The following is an 11,055-nucleotide window of genomic DNA, read 5'->3' on the forward strand; positions in this document are numbered from 1 at the left end:
AGCATTCCTCCAAACATACGTACACATGTTTTTCAGTGCTTAGCACATTTTACAGAAATGTAGGGGATAATAATTTCCATTATTTGATCAATAAAAATAAATACATGTTTGGTTATCTACTAGAAGACATGCTCTATGAAGGCAGGAGCTTTGAGTGCTCTGTTGACTGCTCTATCTCCAGCATGAAGAAGAGAGCCCAGCCCATTAAATATTAGCTGTGTGTGTATACTCTTCAATCTGAAGACTGGATATGTGGACTTTTAAGACTATTGTATACCAGGTCCACCTGAAGGGTAGAAGGAAACGATGACTCTTGTGAGGAAAGTAGTAAAGAAAAAGAATTTTAAGGGGAAAGAGAATAAAAACAGTGGAAACAAGGATTATGTTACAACTAGTTTAGGAGTGGTTGGTACGTCTCAAAGAAATACTTATTTCAAAGAAATAGAGAAAAATGTTGTAAAAGTCAGCCGTGGCTAGTGAATGGGAAAGATGAAGTCTGGGAATGCTAAGAACATTGTGGGAAATTCTGAGAACCAAGGTATATTTTACCATCTCTCATTAGTTTTATGGTAAGACTGAGGGCCAAGGTCATGATTTGCAGAAACCATAGTGTGTAAATATGGCAGCTCAGTATGTCTGGGCAAGGAGGGGACAGCGTAAGTGCTCTTTATCCAGTCTGGACTCTTGTGTAGCATAGAAAGGATCATCAGTTACTGCTTCCTATGAGAGAAGGGATGGTTTAAGCACTGGGGAGTTTTAGACGGGCTCCTTTTGGCACTAGTAAAGTGACCCTGAATAGAAGGTTTGATGGACAGGTCTCTTAAAGCTCACACAATTACCTTGCTGGGTGAAATATAGTGATGAGAGTTGGAAAGAGGCCTACTCAGCCATGAAAGGTGCTGGCCTCCCAGGAATGTGGCCTGGCTGAGCAAACACATCTGGAGCTACAAAAGCCAAGATTTGAGCGGGAGCACAGGCAGAATGCCTTAGTTAAGACTAGATAAACCAGGTTTTAGCATACATAGTCAGCAGACGGTGAGGATCAAAGACTTGATACAGAAGAGATGAGCCCAAGACCTCCTATGAGACCTAAGATCCCTTTCTTCATCCTGATATCAGGAGGGTAAGAAGCTTTTCCTACAGCTAACAGCCATATGGGCAATCAAGAGGGTAGAAGTTGGGAGGAACAGGTCTGTTAGAGTGAGACTCTGCAACAGTAAACTACTTGAAATAACCTGGGAGACTGCTAAGTTTACGTCTCCCTCACCCTCTTGGTCTCAGCCTAGAGAAGTGGTGGCTGGTGAGGAGGAATTGAATCAGCTAGAGAAAATAGCTTTTGCTTTTGTGGGAGTTTTGATGTCTTCTTCATTTCTGAAGAAGACATTCAATCTTCCAAATTCGCAAATGGGTTCTTTTGCTTGATAAGTTCTGCTCTTGATCCTCTCTATTGCATTTTAAAATTTCTGCAGTGGGATGAAATCTGAAGAATTCTATTCTAACATCTTGCTGATGTTTATCTGATCATCTTTTGCCATCAGATGTGCCTGTCACAGTCTCCACCAGAAGCTTTATCTTACTACAGAGTCCAGATGCATTAAGGCTGTGTTCGAGCCATGATCTTCCTCTGAAGAAGAAATGAAGAAGAAATTTATCTTATTTTTGGATATAGTGTTCTTAGTTGGCAGTTTAATTATTATTTTTACTTCATCACTTTGTATACGTCATCGCACTTTCTCCTGGCCTATAAGATCTCTCCTGAGAAATTTTACGTTCTACTTTACTGGAACTTCATTAAATATTATTTGCATCATTTTTCTCATTGCTTTCAGGATTTTCTCTTTGTCCTTGGTTTTTGATAGCTTGACTATAACATGATAGCTTGACTAAAACTTTGTATAGTCTTGTTTGGATTGAATTTGATTGGAGAACTTTGACCTTTCTATAAGTGTACTATTTATATTCCTCTCCAAAATTTGGAAAGTTTTCTACTCTTATTTCTTTAAAAAAGGTTTCTACATTGTCTTTCTTTTCTCTTTTACATATTCTTACTACTATAACACTTGCCCTTTTGATGCTGTCCTATACATCCCATAAGTTTTCTTCACATTTTTTCATTCTTTTTTTCTCCTCTAACTGTATATTTTCAATCAATCTTTCATGTTCCCAAATTCTTTCTTTTGCTTGATCAGTTCTGTTGTTGATTCTCTCTATTGCATTTTAAAATTTCATTCATTGTATTTTTCAGCTTCAGAATTTCTATTTAATTTTTTAAAAAATAATTTCAATCTCTCTGTTAAATATCCTATTTTGGTCATTTGTTCTTTTTCTAATTTCAGTTAATTGTTTGATTTTTTTTCAGGTTATTAAGCTTTCTTAAAACAATTATTTTTAGTTATCTATCAGGCCATTTTTTTATCTTCATTTCTTTTGGAGTCAATTATTGTGAGATTGTTGTGTTCTTTTGGTGGTGTTATGTCTCCTTGGTTTTTCATATTTCTTGTTGCCTTATGTTGATGTCTACACTTTTGGAAGAAGCAGGGACTTATTTCAGTGTTTGAAGAGTGGCTTTGTCTGGGAAAGCCCTTTACCAGTCAGCCTGCCCAGAGATTTTGAACAGGTTGTCTGGTATAGTCCAAAGGTGGGTTTACTGCTGGAGTCCTCAATCAGGCTGACCTTGAGCCTGACTTAGCAGGTGGGTGGCCTGATGTCTGAGTCTGCAGAATTGAGGCTGAAGCCTGGATCCACTAAGGTGGACCTGTTAATTGAGTGTGTGGGGATGGCCTGGACCCTGGGTTCACAGGGAGTAAACTGGTACAGGGATGGGCCTTAATTCTGAGTCTCCAGGGGCAGACCAAGATCTGGGATGGGCCTAGTGCCTGGGATCACTGGAATGGACCTGGGCCCTGAGTCCACATGTGCTGGCTTGGAGCCTGCTTTCACATGGGGTGGTCTTGGAGCCTCAGTCCATAGGGTCCAGCCTGGCACTGGATGTATTGGGTGGGCTTGGGCCCTGGATCTCCTAGAGCAGGCCTGGCCTCTGAATCCTCTCAAGTCAGGGGCCACAGGGACTGGCCTGTGGCCTGGGCTGGCCTGGTGCTGGAGCTGGCATAGAATGTGGGTCCAAATGGACTGGTCTCTAACCTAGGATTTTAGGTTCTTGCCTGGTGTCTGGAGTCACTGGGGTTGGCCTGTAGCATGGGGTTGTGGGGATTGACCTGGAGCTTGTGTCCATTAGTGCTGGCCTGGAGACTGGATCTGCAAATGCTGGCCTGCAGGCTAGGTCCTTAAGTGTTGGCCTTGGTCCTGGGTCCTTGGGAACCAGTCTAGAACTTGGGTACACAGGGGCAGTCCTGCAGCCTGGGTCTGTGGTGATCAATCAATCCTGGGGTCTGCTAAGACCATCCTGAACACTGGGTCTGCTGATGTGTGAGGCTGCAGGGGCCAATCTGGACAGTGGGTCTGTGAGGACTGGCCTGGCACTGGGCAGGCCTGGAAACTGTATCTGCAGGTGCCCACCTGGTATTAGAGGCCAGCAGTGTTGACTTGGTGCTAGGGTATGCCTGAATCCTGGGGGCACAGGGTCTGGTTTTGTGCTGAATGGGCCTATTTTCTGTTTCTGCAGGGTCTGGCCTATTGGCTGGGTCCATAGGTGCCAGCCTGTTGACTAGGATTGTGGAGGCTGGGATCATGGGGACCAGCCCATGGCTTGGAGTTGTCTGGAGCCCAGGGCTGCTGGGGCTAGCCTGGTATCGCCTAGGCTGGGCCTAGAACCTTACTATGTGAGAGCTGGCCTAGGGTCAGCATTAAGGAGATGGAGACCGAGTCTACTAGGCAGGCCTGAAGCTTGAGGCTGTGGGATCTGGCATAAGGCATAAGAGCAGGCTTGGATGCTCAGTCTACAGATACTGACCTAGAGCCTGGGGCTGTGGGCGCATGCCCAGTGCTGGGTTTTACTGGGGTGGATCCAGTGTTGGGGTCTGAAGCAAAGGTCAGTGCTAACTTATCTCTCTTTCCTTCAAATGTTGGGTATCTTCTGTCTCTTCTTTTTTTCATGCTATACCTAGGTGTGTAATCTCTCACCTCATTTCCCTAGACCTTGTGAAGATATTTTTGTGCATGGATAGTGATTCAAATTGATGTTTCTGCAGTGGGATGAATTTTGGAGAATTCTATTCTAACATCTTGCTGATGTTTATCTGACCATCATTTGCCTTCAGATGTGCATGTTACAGTCTCCTCTAGGAGCTCATCTTATCTACAGAGTCCAGATGCATTAAGGCTGTGTTCAGGCCATGATCTTTATTTTCAGTTTGTCAACTCTACTAATATTACCAAGTAATTGGTCTTAATTTTCCTTAGAAAGATAAAAGTCTAATTTTTAATTGTATAATTCAGGTGTGGATACCTCTTCACTATTTATAGAGTTAATTATAGATTATAAAACTAATTATGCACTCTGTGGTTTTTCCCTCTGAAGCTGCTCCAGATAGTCTACATTCACCTTCACTACATCTTTGTGATGTGGTCATCAGATCAATTATTTTTCTCTAATAAAAAGAAAAGGAGGGAAGTGGTTTGCACAAGGTCACTGATCAAATTAGCACTAAAACTTGGCAGCTTGAAGCTCGAGTCCCATGATTCCTGCTCCTGTGCTCAACCCAGAAAGCCCTGCTGCCTCCCAGAGCATGATGCTCTCTCAGGAATGGCTCCATGTAAGCTAAACAGGCAGACCTCCCCCTTATGTTCAGCTACACAGAGAGGATGCAACCTACTGCATGGTCAAATCTGTTCTCACCCTTCAACCAAATAATAGCATATGCTAAAGAGATTACACAATGACCAAGAAGCAGCCCTCATCTTTATCCAGTGCAATGAACCCTGATGGAGCACCTCAGCCTTATAAACTCCTTGTTACAATGACAGAAAAAGCAGAGGTGTTATGTACCTGTCAGTCACATTAATATTTTTTTTTTAAAAAAATAGAGAGTTTAATACATGGAAGGTCCTAAGGTATTTCTCATGGATTATCTCATTTAATCCTTATAAAATATAATGAGGTACATATAATCATGCTGACACAAAACACGTAAGTGCCAGAGCAAATATCTAAACCCAAGTCTGTGTATCTCCAGCCTCCCATTATTAGAACAGGAGGTGGCATGAAGGCAGAGCCTCACAAAACAGGTCACTGTCACTCATGGGGGTGGGAGAGACATTTATGTAAATCACTAGGGATGGAGAGGTTAAGTGGAATGAATGCGCCTCAGGTTAACTCTTGGCTGTAGTACTAATTTAATTTTGTGATCTTGGCATAGTGAAGTCCATTGTCAAAGAGATTCCACACAGATTGAAATGATTTTTAAGCACAACAGATGTGAGGGGATGGAATAATGATGAATATCCTCACAGAGGAGGGAACACACGGAAATTTGTCTTTCAAATAGATTTGGATTCTGAATTTTTATCTGCCTATCAAGGCATTACTACTTTTTATTTTAAAGGCATTGAAGAACCACAGACAAGCTCCAGCATAAATATGCAGTATATCCTGGCACTTAAAAATATGCCCATTGAAACTGGGGCAGGTTCAAATTAAAGTGTTGCCAGTAAGCATAAAGGAGAGGAGTGAGTGAGTAATGTGTTACTTTCTAAACTGTAGAATAAATGGTTCATAAGCCAATTGCTGTGTGGTGAGTTTATCAGTTAGCAATCAAGTAACAAATTACCACAGATCAGTCATTTATTTAGCTTATGGCCCATGAATCAGCAAATTGGTCTGGGCTCAGCTGGGTGGTTCTTTTGCTGGCTTTCTCTGAGATCTCTGACTTATGTATATATCTTCAGTAGCTGCCTGTCAGCTAGATGTTTCAGCTTCTAGGGCTTCCTGGGGCTGACGGTTCAGCTGGGGCAAAGGTGGTGATTGTACCACACATTTCTGATTAACCAGTAGTCTAGCTCAGATTTCTTCATGCAGACTCAAAAGCAGCAAGAGAAGAATCCCCAATGCACATGCACTATTTCCATTATTTGCCTGCATAATATTTATTTGTATTCCATTAGCCAAAACAAGTTACAAGATCAGACCAGACCCATGGAGGTAGAGGAAGATTCAACATTTGATGGCAGAGGTACAAAGCATTGTGGATATTTTTGCCATCTACCACAGTCTACTTTCTGGCCACAATAACTTATATTACTCTCACTTGTAAGAAATGCTCCCTAATTTAGATCCCCCAAAAGTCCAGGGTCTCAGTACCCCCTCAGATATGCATCCTTTATATCCAGATACTAATGAATTAAGAGAAGGTATATGCTCCCTACCACACACACTCTCTGTATGCATATAGATACCCCATACAAATCATGCTGTGCCATACTCTACCATATAGTTATAACATTCCATAATAGACACTCTCAATCAAAACAGGCATTCACTGGTTCATAAGAATTTTGAAATCCTGCAAGATAAATATGCCAAATTCCTTGCTCTATTGGCAGCAGATGTTCCTTAATTAGAGCTTTTCTGCTCCCTGGGAATGGTCTTCCAATCTGTTGCTTCCTAATCTATTGCTAATTCAAGATTAATGGCTTCCTAATCTATTGCTAATTCATGGCTGTTGGCTCCATCTCTTGGGCTTATGGTACCTTTTGGGAAATGTCATTTTCTCCTTATTAAAAAAAAAGGCCCATTTTGCAGGAGAGCAGCTGTCTAAATCTGCTTTCTTCAAGTGGAATTTTGGGATCTCAGAGATCCTTTCTGAAATGTGAATAATTTCAGTCCCTTTAGGTCAAATGTAGTAGCTCTTTTGCTTCGATAAGTTTCTCAGAAGTCCTTTCATTTAGTTGAAAGGTATTTCTAGCACTACTCTAAATATTTTAGAGGTCTTACAATTGGCTTTTCAGTCACACTTGTATTTATATTTATTTATTTATTTGAGACAGAGTCTCACTCTGTCACCCAAGCTGGAGTGCAGTAGCATGATCTTGGCTCACTGCAACTTCTGCCTCATGAGTTCAAGTGATTCTTATACCTCAGCCTCCCAAGTGGCTGGGACTACAGGTGCCCGCCATCACACCCAGGTAATTTTTGTATTTTTGCCTGTAGTCCCAGCTACTCGGGAGGCTGAGGCAGGAGAATGGTGTGAACCTGGGAGGCGGAGCTTGCAGTGAGCTGAGATGGCACCACTGCACTCCAGCCTGGGAGACAAAGCGAGACTCTGTCTCAAAAAAAAAGAAGCCCTTTCACCAGACTAGTCTTGAACTCCTGGCCTCCAGTAATCCGCTCCCATTGGCCTCCCAAAGTGCTGGGATTACAGTGAGCCACCACACCGGCCTGCAGACACACTTTTGATTTGATATTTACCATTAAGAATGTTTTACTAATTGAAGAGGCAGAACATGAGATTTTATTTTCTAACCCAGTAAATGCTGAGCCTTCTATATTCTTTCTAAATTCTGCATATAAATGAAACAATTTTTTCTTTAACTCATCTCTTTCTTCCTGCCTCTTATCATAAGAGAATTGAAATAGCACTTTCAAGATTCTGGCTGGTGGTCTCCTTAGCAAATCTGAAAATGTATTGGGTGCTTGCACTTTTCAGAGTTGCTGCAGCTGTAAGTTCTGCCAATTGTTTTGCTCCTGTAGAACTCCACTCACCATTTGCCAAACTTTGCAAATAACTTCTTCACTGCTTTTTCAGCTTCTGTCTGTTGCCTGGTCTCAAAGCCAGTGACATATATTTCAAGTTTTCTTTTGATAGCAGGCCACATTGGATTTCCAATTTTATTATCAGTTAGCTCTTCTAGCATAAAAGCTACTGCAAAACGTGGCTGCTTTAAACAACCATCACTATTACAATTTTGTGGGTCAGCAGTTTGAGCTGTGCTCAGCCAAGTGGTTTTTTGCTGGTCTTTTGTTGCATTCACTCATGTGTCTGAGTGCATTTGAGCTAAAAACTTTGCTTTTGGAGTTAACTGGCTGGGCAGGTTAATTGGGGCCATGACTGGGCCATGTGTTTTTCATTACCTGGCAGTCAAGCTCAGACTTTTCTACACAGCGAGATGGCAGGGCTCCTACGAACAGTATGGAGGAAGCTCTAGCATGCAAACCCTTCAAAGCTTCCACTTGTGTTACTTTTGTCACCATTTCATTGTCCTAAGACAATCACAGCCAGTCCAGATTCAAGAGGGGTGGAGAAATATCTTCCTTTTTTTTTTTTCTATATTCTGTTTTCTGTAGCCCATAAGTTTCTCCTTTTCTTTTCCTTTTCCATTTTATCTTTTTGTTGGACCACAGCCTTTTAAGAAATGGTGGGACTTTTGTTTATTTTTGTTGTCATTTTACCACTCTTGCTTGAAAATGTCCTTATTCTGTTCTCACCTGATTCATAGTTTGCCTGGGTATGTAATCTGAGTAAGGGATATTTTGCCTGCCAAATTTTGAAAGTATCTTTCCACAGCTATCTTTTACATTAACTTTTGAAAAATCTGAAGATATTCTAAATTGTGATCCTTTGCATTTGACCTAAATTTCTTGTAATGAAACCGTGATTCAATTTTCATCTCTTAAAAAAATGTACAATGGTCATCCTTCAATGTGTTAGGAAGAATAACATAAGAAAGTAATGTGTGTAAAGTGCTTAGTGGAGATGTGGCAAATAGGAATTGCTTCCCAAATGGTAGTGCCATTCTTCACATTCACTCACTTCTATGGGGTAACTCCACACAAGGAATAAGGGCTTGGCACACACTGAGCCACTGCTCATTCTTCCAAATAGCCCACATCTTTTAAATGTTCTCAGATACATTTTGCAAATAGATTGACCAAAAAGGGAAAAAGATGGTTTTAGAGCTTTATTTGTGTCCTAACATTTTTGGATGAGAAATTTTTCTTATCCTTCTAGAAAGCTTTTATCACACTTGGGCAGTAATGTTGGTTCTACATATGTCTGGCAGTGTCTTTGACAAAGTTACAGGATCAAAATTGAAAGGAGAGCTTTTGGATTACATGCTAGCCAAGCTAATGCTGACTTCTGTTCAGAGAAAATTTGGATATTTATTCTTTACACTGAAGATCCCGACTTCCATTACACAGGTGATTCTATTTAAGAAAGAAAGAAAGAAAGAAAAAAGGGATGAGATGACATTATTGAGCTAAGATGAAAATCTGAAAATTGTGATAAATACTCATTTCAAACCTTCTACAAGAAACACAGTTATGTGCCACTGCTAATTAGTGCTGAATATTAGAGGATTAGAGAAATTGATCCAATATGAGATTTTTAAAATCCTTTCTCTATTTTATTCCTTAGTTCTCTTTCTTCAGCATTTCAGATGATGAAGAGGTGTTTAAAAATGACATAGCATCTCTTTATCATGCAAATCTGAATATAAAATGTGAATAAAATTAAATCATAAGCTGTAAGTTGAAGAAAAATAAAAACTAAATTATTTTTTATTTTAGTTTTATTTTATTGAAGAAAAAAATAAATTAAAGTTGCTCTAAAAACCCCACTTTTCCCCCAAGAAATTAACCTTGTAAATACATTTCCTTTTCCCTTCAGAAAAGAATTTATTTTTTTTGCAGGTGCAGATGGGAAATCAGAAAATATATTCAAAAGCATTTTAATTTTAAACATATGCACTTGATTGTTTACTATAGATATTCTCTGAGTTTGAAAAAGCATAAAGGCTCAACCAAGATACCGCAAAAATACCAAGCAAAAAGGTACATGGTAAAGAAAAAATATTCACCAAAAGAATGTTTTAGTTATCACTGTTAGTTCTCATATCAATTCTATATCACATTATTATTGAATGTATTAAAAATATAGAAACAGGACGGATATTTTGGTCCATATTGACCAAGTCTGTAAATAATAAGTAAACCGATGCCATGTCTCAGACCACATTTCCAGTAGCTAACTTGGAAATCAATATCTACCTGCCATATGCCAGCATTTAAGGAAATCTCCACTTAATTGCCTTCTGGCCATATACATGAGTTGATGCTCATTGAATTATCCTGCAGCCTCCAAAAAATTTACTATGTTTTAAAGAAAACTGACAAATAAATATAAAGACACAAATACCTATGCCATGATTTGAATGTATCCTCAAAAGTTCATGTGTAGAAAACTGATTAAGTTTTAATGCAGTAGTGCAATGCAATAGTTTAATGCAATGCAATACTGTTGAGAGTTGGGACCTTTAAAAGGTGCTTAGGTCATGAGGGCTCTGCCCTCTTGAATGGATTAATGCTGTTATCTTGGGATTGATTTTGTTATAGAGGGGTTTTGTTGTAAATGTGTTTGGCCCTTTCTTGCTTTTCCTCCCTCTCTTTGTGCCCTTCCACCATGGAATGTTGCAGCAAGAAAGCCCTTGCCAGATACTGGCCTCTCAATCTTGGACTCCTCAGCCCCCCATAACTGTGAGCCAATAAATTTATGTTCATTATCAATTACTCCGTCTTAGGTATTCTGTTATAGCAGCACAAAATGATCTAAGATAGTCTACAACTAATTGTAATAAAACACTGGGTATCATATATGCTACAACACAAGTAAAAACACTCTATAGGTATACGGTCAGTGCCTCTGCTTTAACAAGGCTCAGACATTTGATAAAATTATACAATTATTAGTCTACTAGTAATGTGTATAATGATGCATAAAAACAGGTAGTGACTGGAGGCACTGGAGGCACAACGACCAATTAGAACGTTGTTTCTTTATTCTAGGCCAGAGTTAATGAACACCTGAATCTGCGAATATGATTTGAATAGGAAAGAATGGGCAGATACAAGACATATTGTGAGGGGAATCTGAGGTTTGAGTAAAAGATTTCTTGCCATCCTAAAGGAAAAGAGTTGAGATGAAGGAATGAGTCATAAAATTAATATGAAGATTTTTACATCTACAGTCTTAAGAGTAATCGGATTTTCAAAATTTGACCAAAATATAAGCCTCTTCAGCCATCAGAAGGACACTGTCTTCTGTAGAAATTGTAGATCTAGTACCTTCTCTGGGCTGCTCCTTGCCTAGGTGGGTCAGGCAT

General features: G+C 39.9%; 1 long non-coding RNA gene across 1 annotated transcript; it reads left to right on the forward strand.

Annotated features, from left to right (window-relative positions):
- Nucleotides 1-6,091: 6,091 nt before the first annotated feature.
- Nucleotides 6,092-10,459, forward strand: LINC02155 (long intergenic non-protein coding RNA 2155). Its single transcript, NR_149085.1, has 4 exons — nt 6,092-6,128; nt 8,956-9,094; nt 9,587-9,727; nt 10,370-10,459. It is a non-coding gene; the product is annotated as a long intergenic non-protein coding RNA 2155 (long non-coding RNA).
- The last annotated feature ends 596 nt before the right edge of the window (nt 10,460-11,055 follow it).

The sequence above is a fragment of the Homo sapiens genome, chromosome 8 (assembly GCF_000001405.40).
Source record: "Homo sapiens chromosome 8, GRCh38.p14 Primary Assembly".
NCBI classification, from domain to species: Eukaryota; Metazoa; Chordata; class Mammalia; order Primates; family Hominidae; genus Homo; species Homo sapiens.